The sequence below is a fragment of the Homo sapiens genome, chromosome 17 (assembly GCF_000001405.40).
Source record: "Homo sapiens chromosome 17, GRCh38.p14 Primary Assembly".
In the NCBI taxonomy this organism is placed as follows: Eukaryota; Metazoa; Chordata; class Mammalia; order Primates; family Hominidae; genus Homo; species Homo sapiens.
The window spans coordinates 62606384-62633656 of NC_000017.11; the positions used below are offsets into that span (position 1 = coordinate 62606384).

Below are 27273 nucleotides of genomic sequence, written 5' to 3' on the forward strand. Positions count from 1 at the left end.
TACAGACTTAATAATACAAGCCTTATTCGTAAGCAGAAATCCTCAACCCTAGGGCACCTAATGAGTTCTGCGGGGCTGTTAAAAACATGCACTTTTGCTGTTCTCAATTAGATCTGGAACATGTATTTATTCTGATAGTGTGTATAGGGATTTACAAAAATCGTTTATTTATTAAAGTATACAATCTTCCCAAGAACCTGGGGGCCCCAAGAACCAAAACTCAAAATATCCCCAGAATCTTTATCGCCAGCCATCCCATTAGTTGAACCTATTATTAATGAAAGCGTGCTTTATATTTCTATACTGGGGAGATGGTGTCAGGATGTATTCATTGTTACCTCTGATCAAGGTGACATATTTCAACAAGTGGTAAACTACACCTAATGAATTGTCACATTTGTTTTTCCTTGTGAACATGCCTTATAAATGTATATATTAGGATCCATTTGTGTATTTATGTTCCTATTGCTGTTTTTGTGTGTTTGTTTGTTTCAGTGTTTCCCAGTAGGCTGTGGGTATAAGCCAGATGGGAGTTCTGTGTGTCCTTTGAATTCTTAATATTTTGATTACATTCCCCAGACCAGGCTCTTAATTCAGATTATACCTTCCTCTTTAGCTTCTCCTTGGTCTTTTTTTTTTTTTTTTTTCTATCTCACCTCTCTAAAACAGGGAAACTATTCAGAGGTAGTAGGCTTAATTATTATTTACATTCCCTGACAATGTTGAATTGCTGCCGATAACAGCAGTAGAAATTATCTAGAAATAACTGTTTGAGAGAGATCTCAGTAGAACCAGTATAGAGAGACTTGAGTTGAACTTGTTTTTAAGAGTTTATTAGAAAATGGCAGCTCGGTGACCAGGCGTGGTGGCTCACACCTGTAATCCCAGCACTTTGGGAGGCCGAGGCAGGTGGATCACAAGATCAGGAGATCGAGACCATCCTGACTAACATGGTGAAACCCCGTCTGTACTAAAATTACCAAAAAAAAAAAAAAATTAGCCGGGCGTGGTGGCGGGTGCCTGTAGTCCCAGCTACTCGGGAGGCTGAGGCAGGAGAATGGCATGAACCCGGGAGGCAGAGCTTTCACTGAGCTGAGATCATGCCACTGTACTCCAGTCTGGGCGACAGAGCGAGACTCCATCTCAAAAAAAAAGACAAAGGAAATGGCAGCTCGGCATAGTTGAAGCCATTAAGTAACCCCAACTCTTTCTTTTTCCCACTCTGTCCTTACCCCTCTTGGTTTTGACTTCCTTTCCTTCTCTTTTTCTGTTTTTTGAGTTGGCCTGAGGCACAGGTGTGTATTTCTTAGGGCCGCATGTATCCCTCAGAGCAGGTGAGGTTGCTGGGTCCTGCTCTAGATCTCCCTTTTCTCTGGTGTGAGCAAAGCTTAGCAGAGCATTAGGATATAGGAGATGCTGCTTCTGGTCCCCACTCTGCTTTGACCTGGTAGTTGAACTGTGAGCAAGTTACATATGCTCTGAGCTCTCAACCCCTTTTATCTATAAAGTGAGAGAACTAGAGGGGATTGTCTCCAGAGTTCCTTGCAGCAATTCAAATTAGAAGATGTCTTATCCTTTTCCTTCCCTGGGGTATTGAATTGTTTTCTCTATAATTTTCATCAGAGGCCTACATTATTTGTTTGTTTTTATGTGACAGCCTTTTGGCCATAACCAGTCTCAGCAAGACATCCTACAAGAGAATACGATTCTTAAAGCTACTGAAGTGCAGTTCCCGCCAAAGCCAGTAGTAACACCTGAAGCAAAGGTAAGTTTTGTTTGACCCATTGGCCAACAGAAACGGCTGCTTTGCTTTCTGTATTACTTTTTTGGGTAATAGTGGATGGATTCTTCAGTGTGAAATTCAGCAGTTAATAAAAATATTAGGATAGGCATGAATTAATGTTCCTAAGAACACTTGACAGAAGAACATTGCTTACACCCTGACCACCCCATCCCCAGTTCCAGTAGAAGGAATGTTGATAGGTGGGTGTTTTAATCTGGAAAGGCTCCCTAGAGTCAGAAAGGGAGGGAGAGCAGACTCCAGTTGAGAGAGAACAGGTGTGTGGATGTCACGAAAGATACCCAGCTTCATCTGTATTCAGGGATTATGATTAATTTGGGGAGCTAATGCCCATGTAGGAGAAATTATATAAGAGTACTAAGGCATTTGTATTAGTCTGTTCTCATGCTGCTAATAAAGATATACCCAAGACTGGGTAATTTATAAAGGAAAGAGGTTTAATTGACTCAGCTCAGCATGGCTGGGGAGACCTTAGGAAACTTAGGTAACCACCCCCATGATTCAGTTACCTCCCACCAGGACCCTACCATGACACGGGATTATGGGAACTACAATTCAAGATGAGATTTGAGTGGGGACACAGCCAAACCATATCAACATTATAGGGTTAAACGTCAGGTGAATGGTAAGCAGTAAATTCTGTTGCAGTTGGTGAGGGCATAAAAAACTCGTGAGGCAAAGGAAACATGGAATGGGAAGTGGTGAAAAGGAAGCTATAAATAATCACTCATCCTTGCCACATCTGTAAACCAAGATTCTAGTAGCCAGCCTACTTTTTCCTTGCTATTTTATTTATCTCTATTTATTAACCAGTTCTACTTAGGTGAGTGGTAGCCAGCCCCATTGGGTGCTGTGGTCATTTAGCATTTTTAAAGTCAAAGTGAGCAGTTATAAGTCTTTTGTTGTTGTTGGTTTGAGACAGAGTCTCACTCTGTCACCGTGTCTGGAGTGCAGTGGCATTATCACGGCTCACCACAGCCTCGACCTCCCCAGGCTCAGGTGATCCTCCCACCTCTGCCTCCCAAGAAGCTGGGACTACAGGTGTGCACCACTGCTCCTGGCTATTTTTTTGTATTTTTTGTAGACAAGGGGTTTCGCCGTGTTGCCCAGGCTGATCTCGAACTCCTAGGCTCAAGCCATCCGCCTGCCTCAGCCTCCAAAGTGCTAGAATTATAGGTATGAGCCACTGTGCCCAGCCAGTTACAAGTCTAATCTCTTTCTTCGGTGTTTGATCTCTGCCGTTCCCTCACAGTGTACCTATGTGACATAGGTTAGGAAAGAACCTCTTTTCCAAGTGGTTTAGCTGCCATGTCACAGGGTAAGAATTAACATCTTTAGCAGTTGTTTATAATTCCTGACTGATGGCTCCCTGTCCCCATTGTTCAACAGTTTAAGTACTGCATAACCAAGAAATCAAATCTGCAAGGGAGAAGTCCCATGACACATCCCTAAGGCAAATGCTGATTTCCTGACTTGTCCTAGGAGAGCTGGAGAGAGGCTCAGCTTTGAAGCCTGGTTAACCTAATTTTGGTGTCAGCTCTACACTCAGTAGTAGCTGTGTAACTTTAGGCAAGTTAAACCTTTTAAGCTGCTTTTCCTTATCCATAAAAACAGAGACAAAAACATCTTCCTTAAAAGGTGTTAGTAGCTAGGTGCAGCGCTGTGCACCTGTAATGTGCTATGATCATACCTATGAATAGCCACTGCACTCCAGCCTCAGCAACACAGTGAGACCCTGTCTCAAAAAAAGAAAAAGAGAAGGGTGGTTGTGAGGTTTAAGAGGACTGGTAGCACCTAACCCTTGGCAGATTCTCTAGCTAGCTGCTCTCACTACCCATGCCACAGCTGCCACCCAGAGTCGATACTGAGGGACTTGAATACATTGTCTGGTAGATGTTTAATTCTCCTAATCTGTCAGGTTTTTCAAGACTATTTCTTTATATAACTTTTGTCAAATTTTCATGTTTATTCAATAAATAGGTGAACAAATGTCTCCAAAACTTTAGAGTCTGTTAGATGAACTTGTTGTGAAGAATACAGAAGTATCTCCAAATGTTTCTGTGCATTATCTCCTGTGTCCCTGTTTCTCCTAATCCTACCCTCTTCTCTTCCTGTCCTCCCACAACAAATATTTACTGAATGCCTGTGAAACACTAAGACACTATTCCGGGTAGTGGAGATGGAATCGAATATGTAGCAGTGAACTCTGCAGAACAGTTCCCTACCCTTAAGGAGTTTATATTCCACTTATGAGAAAAACAATAAAACAAAAAGTGGATACATTTCAGATGGTGACACATGTTATGAAGAAATAAATCAGAGTAGGGGGATGAGGAGGTGGAAACCTCTTTTTTTGATGGCATGGTTAGGGAAGGCCTCAAAGATGAAGTGACAGTTTGAGCAGTATCTTGAATGGTATGAAGGTGGGAGCCATGATTTGCAGGAGCCGTTAGATCTGCAGGGGAAAGTATTTTAGCAGAGAGAAGCTCAGATGTGAGAATGAGCTTTTTGCAGGTCCACAGAGCAAATGGGAAGGTGGTAAGAGAGGCAGGAGGGTGAGGGTAAGTGTGAGGGAAGGCAGTTGCAGGTTTTAATCAGGGCAACTATGTGAGTTGATTGCTGTTTTAAGAGCTGACACTGGCAGCTACAGAGAAAATTCAAGGTAAATGAAGTTTACTTGGCTGAGTGCCATGGATCACACCTGTAATCCTATGGGAAGATGAGGTGGCAGGATTGCTTGAGGCCACAAGTTTGACACCATCTTGGGAAACATAGTGAGACCCATTTCTACAAAATATTTTAAAAGTAGCTAGATGTGGTGGGGCACGCCTTTGGTCCTAGCTACTTGGGAGGCTGAGGTAGAGGATCACTTGAGCCCAGGAGTTTGAGAGTACAATGAGCTATGATCATGCCCGTGCACTCCAGCCTGGGTGACAGAACGAGATCTTGTCTCTAAAAAAAGTTTTAAAAAACAGTTTGACCAGTATTTAAGCCAAGATAACCTGTTTAACTCCAATTCCTTGTCTTTCACCTAGAAAGGCTCATTTTTAAAGGCCAAGGATCATTATGTTCATTTCTATGAATTGTTTTTATCTTCCAAATGCTTTAACCAAGCCAGTACCTGTAAGTCTTTAATTTTGAAAAACCAGATTGGCATTGTATTATTAATTTGTTTATCAAACATGGGGGAAAACCAAAAAATCAGTAGCTTGATTCATGTTGTAGATTTTGTTTCAAATCAACTTTGCTTTTTAGAGCATTTTTAGGCTCATAGCAAAACTGAAAGTATAGAGTTCCCTTATACCGCCTGCTGTACCCATGCACAGCCTCCGCATCGATATCCCCTGCCAGAGCAGTCCATTCGAGAGAGCCAATGAACCTATCTGTACCGACACATCACATCCTTGTCACCCTCATGTAAAATACTGAGTTTCTGTAATAATGATGTTTTAGATTTTTTTAAATTAATTTATTTAAAATAGTTATATTGAAACTGATTAAACAGAACTAGCTAAAAAATAGGAAGAAAGCAAGCAGGAAAAGACAGATAATCTATATAAGGGCCTTTATGCTAAGACTTACAGAAACTAAAACTACATAGCCTCCATATTGGTAGTCAACTGGAATTCCGTGTGCAACCCCACTCACTGCATTTTTGGGTCTACAGTATTATTGCAGATGCAAGTCCTTTTCACGTTTCCCTTTACGACATAGGGAAATAATTTTATAACCTGTGACACATCATAGTGTTAGTCGTTGTGTGTCTCCTGACACTTCATATGGTGACAGAATTTTCGCTTCCTCAGGAAGTTCACATGAGGCCATGGTTTGTAGATGGAGGACCGTGAAGTTAGATCGTTCCCATCCAAACCAGCGAAGACAAAGAGAGATTTTTTTTTTTTCTGTTGGTCTTAGTGCTTTGGGGGCAGGAGTATTTAGAGGTCATGCTTCCTTTTTCCTCCCTTCAGTAATGGCTCAGCCCTTTCTGTCTGAGAAGGGATCGGTGGCAGCAGAGAGGTACTTCTGTTGGTGCTTCTCCTTCCCTTGTGTTCTTTGGGTCTGCCTGGTGATTTCTGAGGAAGGCCTTAAGCCCCTTCTCTTTAGTTGATATTTGCTCTGGGCCCTGGCAGCCGATAGAGAGCCTTAGGGTTCCCTCCAGGGGTGCCAAGACTATCTGCCTCTGTCTTCAAGAAACTCTCCTTTGCAGGCGTTTATTCGACGATGCTTGGCCTACCGAAAGGAGGACCGCATTGATGTCCAGCAGCTGGCCTGTGATCCCTACTTGTTGCCTCACATCCGAAAGTCAGTCTCTACAAGTAGCCCTGCTGGAGCTGCTATTGCATCAACCTCTGGGGCGTCCAATAACAGTTCTTCTAATTGAGACTGACTCCAAGGCCACAAACTGTTCAACACACACAAAGTGGACAAATGGCGTTCAGCAGCGGGTTTGGAACATAGCGAATCCGAATGGATCTGATGAAACCTGTACCAGGTGCTTTTATTTTCTTGCTTTTTTCCCATCCATAGAGCATGACAGCATCGATTCTCATTGAGGAGAAACCTTGGGCAGCTCCGGCCAGGCCTTGTAGGAAAAGGCCCCGCCCGAGGTTCCAGCGTCAACGGCCACTGTGTGTGGCTGCTCTGAGTGAGGAAAAAATTAAAAAGAAAAACTGGTTCCATGTACTGTGAACTTGAAAACTTGCAGACTCAGGGGGGTCCCTGATGCAGTGCTTCAGATGAAGAATGTGGACTTGAAAATACAGACTGGGCTAGTCCAGTGTCTATATTTAAACTTGTTCTTTTCTTTTAATAAAGTTTAGGTAACATCTCCTGAAAAGCTTGTAGCACAAAGGCTCAGCTGGGGATGGTGTTTGACTTCGGAGGAAAAAAGTTGCTATTGCCCGTTAAAGGCACTAGAGTTAGTGTTTTATCCCTAAATAATTTCAATTTTTAAAAACATGCAGCTTCCCTCTCCCCTTTTTTATTTTTGAAAGAATACATTTGGTCATAAAGTGAAACCCGTATTAGCAAGTACGTGGCAATGTTCATTCCAATCAGATGCAGCTTTCTCCTCCGTCTGGTCTCCTGTTTGCAATTGCTTCCCTCATCTCAGTAGGGAAAAAATTGAGTGGGAGTACTGAGATGTGTGGGTTTTTGCCATTGGACAAAGAATGAGGTTAGAAGACTGCAGCTTGGAGTCTCTCTAGGTTTTCAACTATTTCTTCACAATTTGAACACTTGACGGTTGTCCCTTTTAATTTATTTGAAGTGCTATTTTTTTAAATAAAGGTTCATCTGTCCATGCAGTCCTCTTGGATTCTCTGAATGTAGTAACTATGAAGCTATGCCAAAGGTAGGCAGAAAATGGGCTTGGGAGCCAGACACTCCAGGGATCAGTAGTTCCTACCCATAGTCTTTGTGTGCTTGCTAAATGGTGTACATTTCTTGTTAACCACGTTATTAAAACTTGATCAGCACATAAGCTTTCTTCTGTTAGATCTTTTGGCAGCAAACAACCTTCCCCCCAAGCCTCTGAATTTTGTGGGTGTGTGGTGGTGTGTGTCTGTGTGTGCATGTACACACACACTTTGTCTAGCTCACTTTAAAAGATTCATCAAATGGAATTTTAAAAATAATCTGAAAAGAAATAGATATTTCAGGCCGGGCCTGGTGGTTCACGCCTGTAATCCCAGCACTTTGGGAGGCCGAGGTGGGTGGATCACGAGGTCGGGAGTTCGAGATCAGTCTGGTCAACATGGTGAAACGCCATCTCTACTAAAAATATAAAAATTAGCCTGGCGTGGTGGCGTGTGCCTCTAGTCCCAGCTACCCGGGAGGCTGAGGCAGGAGAATTTCTGGAACCCAGGAGGCGGAGGTTGCAGTGAGCCGAGATGGCACCACTGCAATCCAGCCTAGGCAACAGAATGAGACTCTGTCTCAGAAAAAAAAAAAAAAAAAAAAGGAGAAATAGATGTTTCAAATATGAACATTCTTTTGGCACCAATTTTCTTTTTTAATTTGGTTGTTTCTGAGATGTATGATCAACTGAAGATGGAGCTGAAATGGGAGACGGGTGGCCCCACCGTGCCCTTGAAACAGCAGAGCACTCCTCAGTAGAGAGGGAGGGAGCCAAGAGCCTGAACATGTGGTCGCCAGCTTGGAATGTTACTGACATATGTGGCGAGGGCTTAGCCAGAAATATTTAAAGATGTAGTATTCCGGCCTGTGAGTTGTCTGGGCAGGGAGGGGGAGTCAGAAAGGGTAGAGAGCTCTCAAATAACTCATGACTCTAGTGTTCCTTTCACATGTGAACAGTGTCACTGATGACACATTTTCTAGGACCTTCGTTTGTTTTGTGGACCTGCCTCAGTCTCCTCAGTATCAGGCGATCTTAAGGGAAGATGGAGTGTTTCAAATTGGAGAGAAGTTCATGGGTAGGTATCGTCCTGTGGAATTCTGAATGCAAGGAAGTCAACCCCAGAGGCCTTGGTACCCCCAGCTTTCTAAAACTACTTTATTACAATTTATATGTATATACACATGCACATATAAACGTGTGCATTTATGTATGTGTGTATAGTACCTTTTTTAAAAAAACATTTCCTCCAAGCTGCTAAGCAAAGGGTCTCACAGGTCGAGCACAGTGCTGAGAGGATGGTGTCTGCATAATGAAGACATGGATGAAGCTGAGACCGTGTTCAAACTCACTGAAAACAATGAAGTTCTATTCCTTTTTTCTTCCTCTCCAATGATCTTGCAGTTGATTTGTTTGTTTTTTAATTTTTTAACATTTTTTTAACGTTGAAAAAATGCTGCGTCTTTCTTTAAGCCTTCCCAGTAACTTCCTGCCTTTTTTTTCCCCGTGGGCTTTTAAGTGAAGCTGCAGGATTTTATCTTTCAATCTGCCCTTTCTACCCTTGTCCTATTGAAAGGATGCCCTCTTCCCTTGCTTTTTTGGTCTAGGGCCTGTTTGGAGCTAACTAGGCTTGGCTGAGTCCGGGCAAGACCTTCTTCCGAGGCATGGACAAGCCCCAGAGAACATGCAGAACATTGACCTTTCCATTGACTGTCTTTCAAGCAGCCAGTGAAATCACTAAGTGGGGTTCTTCCATGACATATTTTGTTAATATGGGTTTCACTTTTTCCAAGAATAGTCCCTTGTTGCCACAATGTTGATTTACTTTACACAATGACAGTATGTATTAATTTGTAATTAAACCCATCCAGATTGTTTTAGCCTTTTCCCAATGGGGTGGGGGAGGGAAGAAGGATATTAAAATAAGTTTTAAGAAGCAAATTTCCCAGCCTCTTGATTTGACTCTAGTTCTCCAGCTTCACACAGGGACCTGACCACCTAGGGTGCAGATTGGGAGAATCCTGGCAACAGGCTGAGTCTCAGGGCATTGCAGGCATGGGAATGTGTTGATTCATGCAACACCTTTGGTACCTTCAAGTGTGCCAGGAATGATGCTTGTTGGTGGGAATACAGCAGTGAACAGGACAGGGAACGCCTGGCAATCTAGGAGTCAGCAGTCCGAGAGTAAGGGCCCAGGAGGGAAGGAACTGGGCTCGTGCAGTGTGAGATGGGCAGCTTTAGATGGAGACTCACCAGGAAGAGCTGTATGTCCCCACTTCTGTGGCAGACCTGTACATGTCAGCTATCTAAAAAAGGGTTCTATTTCCCTCCTTCCATCATTCTCATTGCCGAAGCTATCTGCCTCATTTCTTAAGGCAGAATCACAGAAGGGTTAAGAGCCTAGACTTTAGGTTTGGGTTTAGACCCCACCTCTGCAAGCTTCAGAAATATCTCCTTGCACTGTGGGAGTAAGGAGTAGAGATAAGATATGTAAAGTGCCTGGCTTGCTCATAAGAGGGGAATCAAAAAATGTGGTTTAAAAAAAGATCACAAGATCTAGTAGTGGAACCCCAAGTTCACTAGTGTGAGGTTCAGAGCCTTCTACTCACCACATACCACATGCAGACCTTTGAAGAGACTGCCCCTTTGGCTTGAGGTTCAGTATCAACCTCTATCTTACAAGGCCAGCAATCTCCTCTTCCCCTGGCTCCAAAACTGCTTTTGGCTGAACCTGGGAGAAGCATCTCTATGGACAAAGGTGTCCAGCAGCGTCAGCATCACCCGGGAGCTTATAGAAATGCATACTCTCAGGTCCCACCCATTCCTACTGCGTCCGAAAGAGAAGGGGGGGGTGCCTAACAGGCTGTTTCATCCTCCAGGTGTTGCTGATGCAGGCTCCAGTTTGAGAACGCCACTGTAGGCTACCTGACTCCCAGGCGGGATGAACACTGAAGGGTACCAGTCCTGCCACCCTTCCTGCCAGCCAACTACTGCAATAAGGGTGGGGTCATTAGAGAGGGTGGCTATGAGGCCTCTTCTGAACTCACCCACTTGGAAGACAGGACTGTTATTTTCTACACTAGGAAAAAACTCCAACGCTGTCGGCTGTCCGACAGCGTATGATGTCATACATAGTTGCCTTTTTTTTTTTTTTTTTTTTTTTTTTTGAGATGGAGTCTTGCTCTGTCGCCCAGGCTGGAGTGCAGTGGCGCGATCTCGGCTCACTGCAAGCTCCGCCTCCCGGGTCACGCCATTCTCCTGCCTCAGCCTCCAGAGTAGCTGGGACTACAGGCGCCCGCTACCACGCCCAGCTAATTTTTTGTATTTTTAGTAGAGACGGGGTTTCACCGTGTTAGCCAGGATGGTCTCGATCTCCTGACCTCGTGATCCGCCCGCCTCAGCCTCCCAAAGTGCTGGGATTACAGGCGTGAGCCACCGCGCCCGGCCACATAGTTGCCTTTATGGGGAGCACCTGGAGGGCCCCTACAACATATCCCTTGCACAAGTACCTAACAATACACTGAAGAAACATTCACTCGTTCGGGCAAAGCTTCTCACCCTTGGCCTTCTCTTAAAATATAAAACAACTATTTATAACATTTTCCTTTCACCTGAGGGGTCCAGGGCTGCAGAAGGAGCTGGCTAAGACCTGGGTCTGCTTATGAGTCCACCCTGGCCCACTGGATGAGGGAGGGGTGAGGAGGGCCAGGGCTGGATTGCAGCTCTTTGGAAAGCTGGGAGAGAAGAGGTCCCAGGAAGAGGAGGAGGGTTAAAGCGGTGGGGAGTGGCTAGAGACTCAGGTTGCTGTTGAGTTCTGTGGTTGGGTAGGGGGAACCTGCCAGAGGCTGGAAAAACAGGCAGGCCTGGGAGCAGGTCTGGGACCTGGTGGGGGCAGGGAATACAAGAGGGCTATTGTGCTGGGGGAGCCCAGCAGGGGTGTGAGACAGGCTGGAGTCAGCAAAGGGGTGTGTGTGTACATGTGTGAGGCGCTGGGCAGAAGACCCCGTGGTGAGGGGGTCAGAGAGCAGCTGGCTGGCTGACTGACTGACTCCTGGGTGTGGAGGGAAGTGCCCAGCTAGAGAGCTGTGCTGTCCTCAGCCTTGCAAGCAGCCTGCAGCTGTGGTGGCTTCCCCATGTGTCATCCAAGGCTTTTCACCCTGAAAGCTGCTTGGAGAGGGAGCAGAGGTCGATAGCAGAGAGAAGGGGCTCTAGCACTTGTGCTTTGCAAAGAAGTTTCGCGGCTGTGTTGCTTCACAACCTAGCCATATGCAAGGTAGGGGCAACTTGATGGGTTTTTTCCTTCTTTTCCATTTTTTTTTTTTGTTGTTGTTGTGGAGGCAGGCTCTTGTTATGTTGCCCAGGCTGGTGTTGAACTCCTGGACTCAAGTGATCCTTCCACCTCAGCCTTCTGAATTGCTGGGATTACAGGCATTGTGGCACTACGCCCAGCCACTCTCTGATTTTACATGTGGAAACTTAGGCCTAGAGAGGTTTGGTACGAGCAGTGGGTGGAGCAGGAGTGACTGGGGAGGAAGGGCCTACAGGCTTGAACATTGGGTGAGCTGGATTCTATGAGTGCCATCTTTTGGGCAGAGGCTGCTGTGGGTAAGGGCTGCACTTCGGCTCCCCTCCGCCAGACTCCCTTCACTTTGTCCCTCCCCTGCCTCATGGCTTATGGCCCTCAGAAGAAATATACTTGGAGACTCAGCCAGTGTGGGCAGCAGACTGGCTCTGCAGTCCTGGGCTGGAAGTGAACTTAGATGGGAAAATGGAGGCGTGGCTTTGCAGAATGTCAGTGCTGCCTATTCCCTAAGCCCTCTCTGCTCCTGTCATGCTCATAGATTAGGAAGCCATAAGCCTGTCCTGCCCCTAGAAACTGCATCTTCCTGCTCCGGAGTGTCCTAATTGGGTAAGTGAGAATGGGACCCTCTGCCTTGGCTTCCTTAAGGTTGCTGTAAGGCATAAAGGGGTTGTGGGATAAAACAGAGGGTGAGGCTGGTGGCCACTTCCATGTCACAGTGGCCCCAGGAGAGATGTCCAGAGGACATAGATGTCCCCCAGTGGGGGTCTTGGCTTGTCATAGTGTCAGACGTGAGCCCTTTAGCCTGGCTCACATGCCCTAAGAGCAGGGCTTGCCTCTGGGCAGCACATCCAGGAAGGCCTTGCTCCTTTGCATCTGCAACCCTCTCAACCCTCCCCACAACCTTCACACCAATACCCCTCCTCCGGCATTCTCTGCCACGTCAGCTGGACAAAAGTGCCCAGCTTTGGCATCGTAGAACAAGGTCATAGTACAGCCCTGAGTGAGGACTGCGCTCACGCCACAACTCCACAACTTGCTGTGTGACCTTGAGCCAAGCACTCCCACTCTGAGCTACAACTGCTGCATCTATGAACTTCATGCATCCACTCAGACACACCTGTTGGGCCGTTCTGTTAATGCACTGGGCCAGGATTTGTGGGTGATAAAAAGGCCCCTCAGCTTGGCTCCTGCCTTAAGGAAGCTTACAGCTGAGAAGCTGAGTGGGAGCTGGGAGGTGGGGAGTTGCGTAAGAGCGAGATGAGACCCTGGGGATGGAGAGAGGGCACGGAGCTGGGCCTTGAGAGAGGAGCAGAGTTCACTAGGCTGAGGAGGGGAACATAGCAGCAAAGGGTCTTAGAAGCTTCACAAACAATGTGTGTCACTGCAGGGCCCCTATGATCTCACACATCCTGGCCTCTGCCAGTGCCGTTCCATCGCTTTGGCCGCCTGAGCATCTTGGAGAACTCAGCTTAGGCGTCACCTCCAGCCTTCCTCTGGGCTCTCACAGCGCCTTGTGCATCTCTCCCTTGCTCCAAACACCGTATCGTGTTGTTGCAGCATGAGCTGCCCCTCGGGAAGCCTGGGACCAGCTGAACGCCAGTGCCTCTGAAGGGGACGTAGAGCCAGACAGGTGGGGTGAGGCAACTTAGGTGTGAGACCCAAGAGGAGCTCTGGGCAGTGTGTCAGATGCAGTTCCTCAGTCAGGTGAGCAGACTAACATCTTAACATCTCAACCAGAACATATCCCCCAGCACAGGGCTTAACTCATGTGCAGTGCACTGTGACATTTAGTGTTTTACTGCACTTTGAAAATGCTGGTCACCACCCACTAAACAGCTGGAAAACATTGCAGTGCTTCCCAGGTGCCCCTGTCTCCTACTTGCTGCTCCGCTGAGGGAGGTGGGGCCAGCCTCCTGGGACAGGGTGGAGGTGGTGGGCCAGCTGGATGAAGCCTCCTGGCTCCTGTTCTGGTCCAGGCTCTATTCCGCCAGAGGCCTGGGCGGGAAGGGATGGATCGGGGAGGCTCTGCATCTGCAAAGCCTGGCCTTCCGCTGGGCCAGGATCAGTGAGAGCCATAGAAGGCTGTTGGCAGGGACTGGGCCTTGCTTAGAAGGCTCAAGTACTGAGACTAGAGGAAACCTCACCCTGCCTGTCCTTCCTGAGTTGGGGAGACAGAGGGAAAGGTCGTGGAGCATCTCGGGTGACATCATGAAGATGCAGAGCTGCCAGCCCAACTACAGCTGTGGCTCAGAGGAGGCCTGGACTCCTGGCTCGGCCTCATCCTCAGTGCAGGGACAGGCTCAGAGGCATTGCGGTTTCAGGTCAGGGGAGGCCCTTGTAGAGTAGTCAGGGTGATACTGTTACCGAATTGAACTGGGGTCTGCTTGCCCATTGCAGTAAAATCAGGCACTGATGCTGAGATTTGCAGCGGGAAAAAGCATATTTATTGTTTGGTGCCTAGCAAGAAGAACAGGCAGCTAGCACTTAAGACCCAAACTCCCTAAGGCTGGGTGTGGTGGCTCATGCCTGGAATCCCAGCACTTTGGGAGGCTGAGGCAGGTGGATCACCTGAGGTCAAGAGTTCAAGACCAGCCTGGCCAACATGGTGAAACCCCATCTCTACTAAAAATGCAAAAATTAGCTGGGCGTGGTGGCGCACGCCTATAATCCCAGCTACTTGGGAGGCTGAGGCAGGAGAATTGCCTGAACCTGGGAGGTGGAGGTTGCAGTGAGCCAAGATTGCACCATTGCACTCCAGCCTGGGCAACAGTGCAAGACGCTGTCTCAAAAATAATAATAATAATAAAATAAAGACCAGAACTCCCTGGTGGCTTACAAGCAAGAGTTTTTAAAGATGGGGTTACATTTCAGGATAGCAGAAGCTGCAGGCAAAATTTTAAACCAAGAAATACATGGAGGGTATACACTGGTCTGGCTCGTGGCAAAGAACAGTGGTCAGAGTTCAGTCCCCAGCTCCCCCTTATCTAAGGTCTGTATAGTAATAGAGGCATTTTCCATCTGGTGGAGGTTTCTGGAAACATCACAAGAAGATATGTTAAGAGGTTATCTTTTAGTTTCTATGGGGAATCAAAACACCTTGTGAGTGACTTGCTTGTGAGACGATTGTTACTTAGCTTCACATTTATCAGATTGCTATTTTATTTTTGTAGAGACCAGGTCTCACTATGTTGCTCAGGCTGGTCTCCAACTCCTGACCTCAAGTAATCACCCCACCTTGGCCTTCCAAAGTGTTGGGATTACAGGTGTGAGCCACTGTGTCCGGCTTCATTGACTTTTTAAGGCTAGCTAAGTGCCTGGGATGTCATTTAAAAGGGACTGAAGACTTTTCCTTTATTTCCATGCTTAGGAGGCCCAGCAGAGCCCTAAGTGGCGTCCTGCTCCATCTCAGTGACTCCCTTTCCTCCCCGCCTCCCCAGCTGGGGAGGGCAGTAGAAAGTTCTGGGGACTCCATCTCACTCATGCACAACTGGTTCTTCAGCTCAGCTCTGTGATGCCCTCTTTTCCTTACTGCGGCGCCTCAGGGCAACCTCTGTCCCTCTCTGAGCTCCCCTTAGCCAGCTTGCTCCTGACCCACTCAAGCCTCCCCAGTGGAGACAGGAGCCAGCGAGGATCTGAGAGGCATTTGCTTTGTGACCCCTGCTGCAGCCGGGGTTCGCAGTCCTGAGCCCTCCCGCTTTGAGCTTACTCCGCTGGCAGCTCACAGTGTTTTCGTGGTGGCTCCTCCAAGTGAGAGTCGATGTCCAGATTCCTAGGTTCATGGAGAGGAAATCTGTACTTCCTGCTTCCTGGAAGACACTGTGAGGTAACTATCTCTTAGCCCTTGGTAGAGAAAAGGCTGGGATTTGGGGTCCCTTTAAAGGATCCCTCTTCTTTTTTAGACAGGGTTTTGCTCTTGTTGCCCAGGCTGGAGTGCAATGGCACCATCTCGGCTCACTGCAACCTCCACCTCCTGGGTTCAAGCGATCCTCCTGCCTCAGCCTCCTGAGTAGCTGAGATTATAGGCATCCGCCACCACACCTGGCTAATTTTTTGTATTTTTAGTACAGATGGGGTTTCACCATGTTGGCCAGGCTGGTCTCAAACTCCTGACCTCAGGTGATCCACCCGCTTCAGCCTCCCAAAGTGCTGGGATTACAGGCGTGAGGCACCCCGCCTGGCCTAAGGATTCCTCTTCTAATACAGGCCTTGGGTTGGAAGTGAGTGGATATAAACTCAGAGGCTTTCCTGGGATCGGGGAGCCCTTCTAGGTGTTCTCCACAGAAGGGAGAAGGGAAAGAACCTAGAGAAAGTGGGCAGAATTTTTGTCAGGTTGTAACTGTGGCTGGATGAATGGTGAGGAGGGCTGGGGTGGACCAGTCAAGAGAAGACAGACCAGCTATAAGGTTCCCCAGTCATGTGGGCGTGGGAAAAAATAGTTCCTTTAAGTTACCCTTGGAAGAGGTTGAACTAGATATTGAACTATGGGTCTTTCTGAATCCTGAGCCTGCCTTCTTCCTTCCCTCTTTAGCCCAGTCCCCTCTAGGATCCTTGGTGGTGTAGACGAGGGTGTAGCCAGATGGACTTGGAGTGGATTGCCTGAGTGGAGCCCCGGGGATTTGAGATGCAGGAGCCAGGGAGAAGAGAGGGTGAGACCCACTTGGGCCAGCCCCACATTTGGCCAGTCCTCTTCCCTGGCTTGGAGAAGGTGCAGGGTGGGGCAGGTCATACAGAACCCTTTGGGGTCACTGCCTCTTTTCTAGTTGCCTCAGGCAAGGACTGGCCAAGTCTTTTTTTTTTTTTTTTTTTTTTTTGAGACAGAGTCTCACTCTGTCACCCAGGCTAGAATACAGTGGCGCAATCTCAGCTCACTGCAACCTCTGCCTCCCAGGTTCAAGTGATTCTTCTGCCTCAGCCTCCTGAGTAGTTGGGACTACAGGCGCCCGCCACCACACCCGGCTAATTTTTGTATTTTTAGTAGAGAAGGGGTTTCACCATATTGGCCAGGCTGGTCTCAAACTCCTGACCTTGTGATCCGCCCGTCTCAGCCTCCCAAAGTGCTGGGATGACAGGCGTGAGCCACCGCACCCGGCCCAAGTCTTTCTTTATAGCCTCCTACCCTACCAAGCCATCCAGTTGCATTTTCCCTCCCTGTCTTGAGTTCTTCTTTCCTAAGCTTCTGTTGTAGACCTGGCCTGCTGGAGTGCTCTGCTCCCCTGGGAACCCTCTGGCTGGAGAGGCTCCTGAGCCACAGAACCAGAGAAGAGGAGAGTAATGCCAGAGGATCCCTAAGCACAGTGAGTAATGACACCAAAACTTACACCTCACAGGGCACCTGAGACTCAGGGAAGGGAAATGACTTGCTCGAGGACATGTGGCTAGTGAATGGCAGAGCCGGAACTCCACTCACCTCCACTCCCCAGGCCTGGACTCACCCCACTGCCCCATGCCGAGCTGTTTATGGACACACATTTATTAGCCAAAGTGAGCATGCTTCTTATTAGATTACTTTACACTTTAGGGTACCATTTTTGTACACAATTAAATATGGAGATGTTCAGAAAATGCAGGGATGTTGTATTGTTTTCCCAGGCAAAGTAAAACTCAATGTTACAATCCGATAAAACTGATATGTGCAGATTTCATGGGCAGGGTAGGGTGGGAGGGTAGGGGAGAGACAGGCAGGGTGAAGGGTAAGGACCCTGATGTCCAAATGGCAAAGGAAGATGGGAGATGGAGGAGACCACATTCCCTGAACATCCCCATTCATCCAGCGGCCATGCCATTGCTTTACACTTAACATTTAACTCCCAAGGTAGGAAACATCTCAAGTTGCCCCATTTACAAGTAAGAATTATTGTGAGCTCAGAGTTAAAGCATTAATAACTTGCTGCAGGTTACAAAGCTGGGAAATGGCGAAGTCAGGATTTGAACTCAGGTTTCTCTGGATCCAAAGTCTGTACTCCTTCCACTAAACTGTTTGATTGATTGATTGATTAAAGACAGGATCTCGCTCTGTTGCTCAGGCTGGAGTCCAGTGGTGATTATAGATTCACTCCAGTCTCAAATCCCGGGGCTCAAGTACTTCCCCTGTCTTAGCCTCCCAAGTAGCTAGGACTACAGGTGCATACCACCATGACCACGCCCAGCTAATTTTAAAAATTTTTGTAGAAGTGTGGTCTTGCTATGTTGCCCAGGCTGATTGTTAACTCCTGGCCTCAAGTGATCCTCCCACCTTGGCTTCCCAAAGAGCTGGGATTACAAGACCTGAACCGCCACACCTGGCGTAAACTGGTTTTGATGAAATTAGCAGACCCACAGGGGGTGATGCTAATACAGGATTAGACCATTCTCTCATTGCTATAAAGAAATACCTGAGACCAGGCCGGGTGTGGTGGCTCACACCTGTAATCCCAGCACTTTAGGAGGCTGAAGCAGGTGGATCACCTGAGGTCAGGAGTTTGAGACCAGCCTGGCTAACATGGTGAAACCCCTCTCTACTAATTAGCTGGGCATGGTGGCACGTGCCTGTAATCCCAGCTACTCAGGAGGCTGAGGCAGGAGAATCGCTTGGACCTAGGAGGTGGAGGTTGCAGTGAGCCAAGATTGCACCACTGCACTCCAGCCTGGGCAATGGAGTGAGACTTGATCTCAAAAAAAAAAAAAAAGAAAAGAAATATCTGAGGCTGGGTAATTATAAAGAAAAGAGGTTTAATTTGCTCATGGTTCCACAGGTTGTACAGGAAGCATGATGCTGGCATCTGCTCAGCTTCTAGGGAGGCCTCAGGAAACTTAAAATCATGGCGGAAGGGATGCAGCAGTTCACATGGCTGGAGCAGGAGCGAGACAGAGAGTGGAGAGGTGCTGCACACTTTTAAATGACCAGTTCTCGTGAGAACTCACTGTCATGAGAACAGCATCAAGAGGATGGTGCTAAACCATTCATGAGAAATCCACCCCCGTGATCCAATCACCTCCCACCAGGGCCCACCTCCAACACTGGGGATTACAATTTGACATGAGATTTGGGCGGGGACACAGATCCCAAACCATATCACCCTCAGTACCTGTTGCTGGCTGACAGTTGGTCAGTGTCTAGGGGAGAACCATTCTCAGCTTCAGTTCCACGATAGCGAATACCATCTTGGCAAAAATCCCCTGGACAAGTCAGAGACCTCACTAAGTCTCCAGCATCTAGCCTGATGCCTGACACATACTGACCCTCAATAAACGGCTGTTCAACTGTGGGCACAGGAATGGTGAGGAGGCTGTGGGCACAGAGGACGCTGGCCCTTCTTTGGAAGCAGATGAAGGTCTGGGTGTTGATGAGGGGTTCCTCGAAAGTCCCATGCTGCTCACAACACCCAACACTCCTACAGACTGTGACCATGTTCTGTTGACAACTGAGCCTGCACAGGATCTTTATGCAGTAGGGAACCGGCCCGGATTCTCCACAGGGAGAATCTCCCAGATGTTTCCCCGCTTTCTGCCCCAAAGTCAAGATCAAAAGCAGTTGGCAGCTGCAGACATCAGCAGAAGTCAGTGGAACACAGTGTGGAACCATGTCGCGCTGGAGGAGGAAGTCTCGCGCTGGAGGAGGAAGTCTCACCCTTGACAGAGACTAGAACTGGGCCTTAGAAGCTTGAACCAACCTCTGTCCCTGCGAGAGCAGCACACTTTTGTGCTCCTCAGCCCTTGCGTCTTCTTTGCCTGGAATATGGCAAAACGTTTATTTTCCCCCACTAAATGAGGCTCCTCTAGGGCTGCAACTGTGTTTGCCCATCTCTCTTTCTCTAGCAGCTAGCACAGGGCTAGCAGTCGGTGCTTGTTGAGCCGGTGGGTGAAGAGACGAGAGCACACCTCCTGTGTGCCCGGCATGGCGGGACCTGGTGCCGGCAAGTGGTGGGCTCTCTGGCCTCATGCTCTGCGCTGGTGATGTCAAGGGGTGGGCTTCTGTCCTGCCACTGATAGTAGGAGGGAAGGCCAGCAGGAAACGCCGAAACCTACTCAAGCTGCTGGAGAAGGGGGAATCCAGCCCTGTTTCAGGGGAAGGAGTATCCTGTGTTCTGAGAGCGAGAGAGCAGCTTAGCCGGCAAATCCTTAAATCCTTCAGAGATTACAGGATTGTGCAAGAGGGAAGGCCAAGAGGGGGACCTCTGAGGCAGCTCCAGCATGGCCTGTTGTGTGCAGAGGACTGAGATCCCAGAACATGCCACACCAAGAAGACATGTCCCAAGGGGCAGTGGAGCCACAGCCACCAGAAGGGACCTGGCCCTGTCGGACCTGCTGAAGCTAGCCGTGGAGTGCAGGGGCTTTGTTGGTCTGGCTGCTAACCAAAGGGTGGCTAATGGGACCCTTTCCAGGGGCCTCTAGGGGATTTCAGTGGGGGCTTGCTTCGAGGCTCTATTACCACTGGACTGTTTACCAAGAGCCTCAGCCTGACAGAGATGGGAAGAGACGAGTGAGCATTTCTGACCCAACACCCCCACTGCAGAGTTGGGGAAACATTTACCCAAGATAGGAGGAATAAAAAGGAAAAAAATTGAATTTATTTCCAAAAAACATACCAAGGTGGACAAGATAGGAAACAATACAATTTATATTACAGTTTTATTATTATTTAAAAATTTTATATTAACAAAATGAGATGGGATCTGCCTATGTTGCCCAGGCTGGTCTTCAACTCCTGGGCTCAATCTCCTCGGCCTCCGAAAGTGTGATTACAGGCGTGAGCCACCGCACCCGGCCCATATTACAGTTTCATAGTGTTTTTGATTACTCGTGGTAGGAGAAATGTGTCTTCTTTGCACTTGGGGTCTCAACGTCTCAGTCCTGCCCTATGCCCCGAGACCCCAAGAGGCTTTCCCAAGGTCAGGCAGGGAATCCGCAGAGAGGCAGGGCTGGACTCCAGCATCCTGACTCCCCAGTTCGTGCTCTGTGCTGCAGAGACCTGTTGCGTAACACTGAGTAACTGTGGATTGTCTAACCTTTTATGAAATTTCCAGCTGGTCTTTTGCTACCGGCCAGCAGTCCAGTTGGTGGGAGTGATGATGCCGGTCTTCTGAGACGTCCAGTGGACAGATTTTCCCCAGGTTTCTGGATGCAGCCCCAACAAGCAAAAGTGCTACACTCCTGCACCGGGAACACTGACACAGGGGTCACGAAAATGCTAAAACAAGACGTGCAAGAATTGTTGCGCTCCGCACACGTAACAAGGGCTCTGCCTCCCCCTCCCCCAATCTTCGCCCTGGTGGCCAGGCCCTGGGCTCCGCCCCTTCCCCACCAGACCGGGGGAGGGGTCCTCCTCGGCATGGAGGTAGGGGATGCTAGGCTGCTGGAGACGCCCGCAGAAAGAGGCGGGATGGCGGGGCGGATGCTGGCGGCCCGGGTCTGGCCACCTGGGTCAGCTGCACGCCCCCGCCCCGGGCTGGCCGGACCTCGTAGCCCAGGTCCCACCACGCCGTGAAGTTTGCGGAAAGTTTTGCAGTTGCTTCCCCGCCCGCGCCAGCGGGGGAGTTGTGACGCAGCGTCTGGGGATCCTGGCCGGGACAGAAGAGAGGGAAGGCGAGGCGGGGAGAGACTGGGAAACAGAGCAGCAAGAGAAAGGGCGCACGCTGGGGTCCTCCTGGACCCGGCGTGTCCTCCTCTCCGCCACCCCTTTCTCTCCCTCCCGACGCTCTAGCCCCAGACCCGCGCCTCCTCCCCTTCCCCTCCCACGCTGCCCACTTCCCTTCCCCTCTACCCCTCGAACCCTCCTCCCCGGTTCTGCGCTCCTCCCTCCGCCCTCCCTCCGCCCGGGCTGCCTCCTCCCTCCTCCTCCCCGGGAGGCATCACTTCGTCCCGACCCGGAGGAGGACGCGAGCCCCTTGCGGGCGGTCATCACAGCCCAGCCTCGGGGCTGCCACAGCGCGTTGCGCCTGTGCGCCCTCGGTCCCCGCGTCCACTGAGCGCCGCGCTCGGGGATGGGGCCCGGCCGGCCGGCCCCCGCGCCCTGGCCTCGTCACCTGCTGCGCTGCGTCCTGCTCCTCGGGTGCCTGCACCTCGGCCGTCCCGGCGCCCCTGGGGACGCCGCCCTCCCGGGTAAGGCGCTGCCAACTTGGCCAACTTCAGGGCCCGGGCGGGGGGAGCGCCGAGGCGCGGGCCGCTCTCGACTTTTCCCTCCTTTTCCCCCCTCTTTTCTCCAGAAGCGTGTGTGCGTGTGTGTGTGACTGGGTTTTTAAAACTCGTCTCCGCTTTTCTGAAAGCGGGGGAGGAGAGGGGAGGAGGAGCGCGCCTAGAGGTGGGGGAGGACCTGAGTGGAACCAGATGTGGCGGGCGGCGGGGGAGGGGAGCCCGGGGGACTCCAGCAGCCTAGGAGGAAGCGGGTGGGCTCTTGAGGACCCCCGCGCACCGCGCTCCCGGACCACCCGGCGCCGGCCCGTCCTCGGCAGGGGACCTGCAGGGCGCGCCCGGGGAGCCAGGGCTCTCTGTCCGGGAGTTCCCGGGCCCAGTCTCCTCGCTCTGCCCCAGGACTGATGCGTTAGGACGGCTTTCCAACTATCCGCGAGGGTTCGTTTCCCCCACCTTCCCCCCGCCCCCTGCATCTCGTGGGCGTTGATATTTTCTTTTCCACACTTAGTCTTCAAGGAGGCTTGTGGCGCGCGGCATCCGCCCCGCGTGAGCTCGGCAGCCCTGTGAGGAGGCTCCTGCCACTGGGACGCAGCAACAGGCTGGGCGCCGCCGTGCTGTGATGTTGCGTAGCGTGGGCAGCTCTGGGCACACTAGTGGCCCTCCAGAGGGGACAGACCTTGAGCGGCAAAAGAGCTGCTAAAGATTTTAAAACCCAACGAACAGGAAACAAAACAAAAATCAGAAAACCCCAAAACTGTGCCATTCTCTTCCTGCTCCTTATTCAGGGGTAACAGTGAAGTGTGGGGACAGACAGATCCCTCGCCAAGAATCTAAGAGTTGAAAGGAAAGATCCACTTCCTGGGGGAGTGGGGGTGGGGGTGTCTGGAGTGACCGGGGGAATCGCCCGGCCCAGCTTGGTCCTGCTGGCTGTTTAATTGGGGGATGGGGACAGTCCGTGCAGTGTCTGCAGTTTTGTGCAAGGACCAGACAGCCCCCTGGAGAGTCTGGGGCCTCCAGCCTGGCCCGTGCTTGCTGGGTTGGCCTGGCGTGACGTAGGCACAAGACACATATCTGCCAGATGGGAAAGGTGGGGGCCACGGTGACCCACATTCACACCAACCGGAGACCCCCGGGGCAATTCTGGGCCCACCTGGCATTGAATGTGGGACAGACACAAACCAGGCCGGGTAACCCCCTAACCCACTGCAGGGCGGCCTCACAGGCAGTTCCCCTACCTCCTCGCACTCCTGCCTTCCTCTGCTCCTCTGCGCAGGGCCTCAGGAGGCAGGCGGTGGGAAGGGGTGGGGAGGATGGCCATTCCCAGAGCTCCAGAGCACACTTTAAAGCCAGGCCCTGGGAGAGAGTTGTGGCCAGAGTGCTGACTCGGCCTTTCCCCCTGGAGCTTTTCATAGAGGGGGCTGGAAGTGCCTGGTGAGAGGCCCGGTCAGGGAGGACAAGGACGCCTGGAGTGTCCCTCCTCCTCCTGGTCTCTGTGCCTGGCCCTCCCTGGGGCTGTGTCCAGGGATGAATAGCCTCAGAGGGTCCCCTTCCCGTTGGCACTGCATTGACCACACCCTGAGGAGGCTTGGATCTGGGTGGCAGGCAGTGTGAGGTCTTCCAGCAGCAGCTGAGCAGGAGGAGGATGGAGCTGCTGCAGGTTCCTTCCCTCGGAACCGTGCCCTCTGCACAGAGTGCGCTTGCCCCTGCCCTGCCAAATTCCACTGGGCCCTACCCTGGGAAGCCTGTTCAGAGCCTCTGGGCCGAATTCCTTGCCCGAAGAGCTGGCAGCCCCTAGTACCTGGTGAATTACGTTGTTGTTGGGAGGAATTCACCAGCACCAGAGACCAAATAGCCCAGGAAATGCATGTGGGAGGTAGGGTGTGGCAGGCCAGTGCTGCTGGGGGCGAGGCTTATGCCAGGCAGGGCAGGGGCTGCGTGTGGGCAGTTTCCTGACCACCATGGGGGAGCCCTGTGTGCCCAGAGCACGGGGCAGGGGCAGCGAGGCGGCAGTGCCTTCTTGGTGCGTGATGGTGGAATCCATCTTTTCTCCACCTTGGTGGAGTGGCCCGCGGAGACTGTCACTGGAAGGAGTCCTCTTTGTTAGTTGCCATATTACCGCATTTCTGGAGCATGCAGTTTGCTCAGCCTTGAGCCAAGTTCTTGGGGAGGAGGGAAGGTAGAGAAGAGTGTAAGATGCATCCTCTGGAAAAAGAAAATCGTGTGGGAGAATGAAACGTGGAACAGTGAACTGCGTAGGGGGCAGAATGCCATTGGTGGGATGCCTGCCTGCCCAGACCCACGCTCAACCCTTCATGTGCAAGTTCCCATTTCATTTTGATAACAACCCAAGGAGATGGTTATTGTTGGACCATTTTTGCAGTTCAGGAAATGAAGGCTAAGAGGGGTCTGATCATTTACATTGGTCACACCCCTAGTAAGTGAAAGGCTGGAGTGTGGATGCTTCCCGTCTGGAGATTGGAGGCAGGAGAGACCGTATGGGCCAAAGGGTGGCCAAGGCTGTCTGGAGAGAGGCAGGAAGGGGCCACCAGGCTGGGCTCTTCTGGGGATGATGTGGAAGCTTGCTGGCTGGGCCGGGGAGAAGGTTGAGTGAAAGAGGTGCCTGGGAGGCCAGAATGGGGATGGGACCTGCAAGCTGGCTGTGGGGAACCCCAGGGGACCCTTGGAGGTTTCCGAGCAGAGGAATGAGGGGATAGTTGCTGGGAAAGGGGCTTCTGGGAGCTCCAGGGATCAAGTCTCAAGGCCATGGGGTGAGGAGACCTCAGGAAATCTTCCTGTGGGGAAGGTCGGTGCTGCCTAAAGGACAGGGAGGGTGGCATCGGGTACTTGGGGCTCTGACCAGAGTCAGCCAGACCAGCTCCCTACACTTCTGGCCCAGCTTCTGCTGAGTCGTGGGGTTCGGAAACTTCTTACTGTTCCCCCACGCAAAACTCAGTTTTCCTTGCTCCAACCCTCTGGCTCTCTGTGAGTCATCAGGGCCCAGGAGGTGCCCAGCCGAGCTGTGGCTAGTGCTGGGATCCTGGCTCTCTTCTGGGTTCACCTGGGCAAGGTGAGGGTACATGGAGGGGAGGAAGAACCCCGGGTTTTGGCCCCCATTTTTCGCACCAGAGAAATCCTGGCTTTCTGATGCACGTAGGGCACCGTGACTTGGCTCAATGAGATGATTTCGGAAGTGCCATGCAGTTCTCAGGCAGATATTCATTTGAGTTCCTCATCAGTTTAAGCATCGAGGAGGAGTCCTGTTGCACTGTCCATACCCCCAGAGGGATGGAGCGATGGCACCCACGGCTGCGCTGTGCATGTGGTGGGCGCCGTGCTGGGTCCTGTGCTGGCAGTAGCTCTTCGGCACCTCCCATCTCTGAGCAGGTGTCAGAGATTTGCACACACCTGGCGTGAAAATGTTAAAGATGTTAAGGGAGTCACTCAAGGCTGTGCCACCACACCACTAGAAGGTGTTACCAGTGAGATTCGAACCCAGGAGTGGTTACGGAGCCTGAACGCTCCAGTACCATACAGCGTTTCCATCGCATGAAGCACTGTCAGTGTGTGTGTGTTAGGAAAGCCTGGGAAATTCTGCCTTATGTGTTCTCCCCGCCCCCATAACTCCAAGCCCTCTAGGACACCTCTCAATGTGTCCCACCGGGAGGACTCCTGAGGAGGAGGGTGGAGCGAGCAGCCCTCTGTCACATGTCAGCGGTCTGGGCGCTTGGGTCAGCCACTTCCTTGTGGGTCCAGGAGGCCTGGACCGAGCCGCCTGCAGTGTCCTCAGGATCTCTGAGGGACCCCCTCCAAGAAGGCATTGATAAGTGAGTGACTCAAGGTGCCCCAGCATGGCACTCCAGCTTCCCTGAGGTCAAGGATTCACATGGTTGTTCATTCATTCATTCATTCCTTCAGTGGGTGTCTGCTGAGCTCCTGCAGAACTGAAGTAGAGATGGCCATGGCCTATTCTTTATTTGAGACCTCCCCACCGTGTCTCCAGTGGGGGTCCCTGGACTTGGAAGGCCTGAGCACTGCTGATAGGAAGCGTGTCTTCCTGTTCAGGCCTACGTGAGATGGGAGGGGGCCGCTTTCCCACGCCTGGGTCCTGTGAATCTGGGTGGGGTGGGCCAGTGGGGTGGTGACGCGCTCCTGGAGCTCACCCTGGGCCCTGCAGATCTGTCACTCTTCAGCTAGGGGTTGTACCAGTAAACGGCAGCTGGATGAGGGCTGTCCAGTGGCACCTGTGACACCGGGGTCTGCCGGGGTCCACCAGCTGCAGCCCTTTAGGAAACAGATTGGGTCGACCCCCTCAACTGCACACTGTGGCCCCTCGTGGAATTCCACCGGTTGTTTCCCTTCTTGCACTTCCCCCTGGCCCCTCGTCTCTCCTTCCGCCGCTGGGCACCAGCCTCTTGGCTCTGCACTCTCACAGCGCAGACCCTTCCACCTGCGCTCTGCTCCCCTCAGCCTCCCACTCCTCCTGATTTCTCTTTCTCTGACTGTGCATTCTGCCCTCCGCAGCTCTGGTTTTTGTTGTAGAAGAAGGACCAACTTCTTCCTAGTTTCCCCGGCCCCCCATGCCTCTGGTCTCTTGTCCTGCCCCAGCTTTCTCCACCTCCAGGCTTCTGCCCACGCACGATCACTTTGCCTGGTGTGCCTCCCCTCCCCTCTTCTTTCCCACCTTCCAGTGACCCTTCCTTCGAGACTCAAGGATCCTGGGGAGGACGCTGAGGGAGCCTGGTCCCTGCCTCTTGGGCTGACCTGGGGTGACGAGAGACAAGCACACAGACATGGCCCATGGTGACAAATCCCAGATTGGATGGGTGGCCTCTCTGTTTATCTCCTTCCCAGGGATCACCTCAGGAGGGCACATGTAGGGAACACTATAGCCAGCCTTCCTCAGCCTTCCCCAGCCTTCCCTGAAGGCAGCCGGGTGCGAGGCTGAGCAGTGGCCCCTTCCTCCTGTAGATGAGGCAGGAGTGTGGGCATGGCTGGCAGTGTTTCCCCCCGTCAGTCCTCTGGAAATGTAAATAGGGACAGAGTCGGTGGGACCAGGATTGATGGCACTCACCAGCTATGTGACCTCAGGCAGAGGCTCAAGTGTCTTCATTTATAAGATGGGAAAAATCAATACCTCTTGTAGAGGTATTATAAGATTACATACAAATGAGATCATGAACGTATGAGATATGTCCCTGGTACACTACTGGGCACAGAATAATTTCTTAGCAAACAATACTAAATTATTGCTATTTTTATTAGAAGAGAAAGGGTGGGTGAGGTGGCTCATGCCTGTAATCCCAGCACTTTGGGAGGCCGAGGCGGGTGGATCATGAAGTCAGGAGATCGAGATCATCCTGGCTAACACGGTGAAACCCCATCTCTACTAAAAATACAAAAAATTAGCTGGGTGTGATGTGGGGGCGCCTGTAGTCCCAGCTACTCAGGAGGCTGAGGCAGGGGAATTGCTTGAACCCAGGAGGCGGAGATTGCAGTGAGCCAAGATCATGCCACTGCACTGCAGCCTGGGCAACAGAGCGGGACTCCGTCTCAAAAAAAAAAAAAAAAAAAAGAGAAAACATGACTATCAAGGTTCCCAAATATGATAAAACACAGTCTTCAATATACAAAATCCTGCTGGACACGGTGGCCCATGCCTGTAATCCTGGCTTGAGCCCAGGAGTTCAAGACCAACTTGGGCAACAT

General features: G+C 50.8%; 2 protein-coding genes and 1 long non-coding RNA gene across 47 annotated transcripts in view, besides 7 other annotated features; 2 read left to right on the forward strand and 1 right to left on the reverse strand.

Annotated features, from left to right (window-relative positions):
* TLK2 (tousled like kinase 2) overlaps positions 1-9098 on the forward strand; it is a 144568-nt gene extending 135470 nt beyond the window's left edge. For all 42 annotated transcript variants that reach the window (XM_024450552.2, XM_024450553.2, XM_047435179.1 and 39 more), the window contains 2 exons: positions 1658-1765; positions 6009-9098. In XM_024450552.2, the coding sequence (XP_024306320.1) occupies positions 1658-1765; positions 6009-6182 (282 nt within the window). In that variant the 3' untranslated portion in view covers positions 6183-9098. The remainder of the gene's footprint in view (positions 1-1657; positions 1766-6008) is intronic.
* Positions 5419-5538: an enhancer, noted in NCBI's record as "active region_12540". NCBI's record gives its function as "activates an Ori minimal core promoter by ATAC-STARR-seq in GM12878 lymphoblastoid cells {active_cell/tissue: GM12878}" and the evidence as "EXISTENCE:reporter gene assay evidence [ECO:0000049][PMID:35858748]".
* Positions 12479-12990: an enhancer, noted in NCBI's record as "H3K27ac-H3K4me1 hESC enhancer chr17:60696223-60696734 (GRCh37/hg19 assembly coordinates)". NCBI's record gives its function as "activates a minimal SCP1, AML or CMV promoter by ChIP-STARR-seq in primed H9 embryonic stem cells {active_cell/tissue: H9 hESC(primed)}" and the evidence as "EXISTENCE:reporter gene assay evidence [ECO:0000049][PMID:30033119]".
* Positions 19012-19512: an enhancer, noted in NCBI's record as "H3K4me1 hESC enhancer chr17:60702756-60703256 (GRCh37/hg19 assembly coordinates)". NCBI's record gives its function as "activates a minimal SCP1, AML or CMV promoter by ChIP-STARR-seq in primed H9 embryonic stem cells {active_cell/tissue: H9 hESC(primed)}" and the evidence as "EXISTENCE:reporter gene assay evidence [ECO:0000049][PMID:30033119]".
* Positions 19513-20013: an enhancer, noted in NCBI's record as "H3K4me1 hESC enhancer chr17:60703257-60703757 (GRCh37/hg19 assembly coordinates)". NCBI's record gives its function as "activates a minimal SCP1, AML or CMV promoter by ChIP-STARR-seq in primed H9 embryonic stem cells {active_cell/tissue: H9 hESC(primed)}" and the evidence as "EXISTENCE:reporter gene assay evidence [ECO:0000049][PMID:30033119]".
* LOC107985020 (uncharacterized) lies at positions 20054-21667 on the reverse strand. Of its 2 annotated transcripts, none has more exons than XR_001752961.3 (2): positions 21462-21667; positions 20054-20626 (listed from the first exon to the last, which is right to left on the reverse strand). It is a non-coding gene; the product is annotated as an uncharacterized LOC107985020 (long non-coding RNA). The 2 variants fall into 2 exon arrangements; XR_001752962.2 differs by lacking the exon at positions 21462-21667 and adding an exon at positions 20856-21134.
* Positions 21207-21646: a silencer, noted in NCBI's record as "silent region_8809". NCBI's record gives its function as "represses an Ori minimal core promoter by ATAC-STARR-seq in GM12878 lymphoblastoid cells {active_cell/tissue: GM12878}" and the evidence as "EXISTENCE:reporter gene assay evidence [ECO:0000049][PMID:35858748]".
* Positions 21287-27273, forward strand: part of MRC2 (mannose receptor C-type 2) — a 65928-nt gene continuing 59941 nt past the window's right edge. For all 3 annotated transcript variants that reach the window (NM_006039.5, XM_047437208.1, XM_011525543.2), the window contains exon 1: positions 21287-21537. In NM_006039.5, the coding sequence (NP_006030.2) occupies positions 21420-21537 (118 nt within the window). In that variant the 5' untranslated portion in view covers positions 21287-21419. The remainder of the gene's footprint in view (positions 21538-27273) is intronic.
* Positions 21847-21916: a silencer, noted in NCBI's record as "silent region_8810". NCBI's record gives its function as "represses an Ori minimal core promoter by ATAC-STARR-seq in GM12878 lymphoblastoid cells {active_cell/tissue: GM12878}" and the evidence as "EXISTENCE:reporter gene assay evidence [ECO:0000049][PMID:35858748]".
* Positions 24168-25024: an enhancer, noted in NCBI's record as "H3K4me1 hESC enhancer chr17:60707912-60708768 (GRCh37/hg19 assembly coordinates)". NCBI's record gives its function as "activates a minimal SCP1, AML or CMV promoter by ChIP-STARR-seq in primed H9 embryonic stem cells {active_cell/tissue: H9 hESC(primed)}" and the evidence as "EXISTENCE:reporter gene assay evidence [ECO:0000049][PMID:30033119]".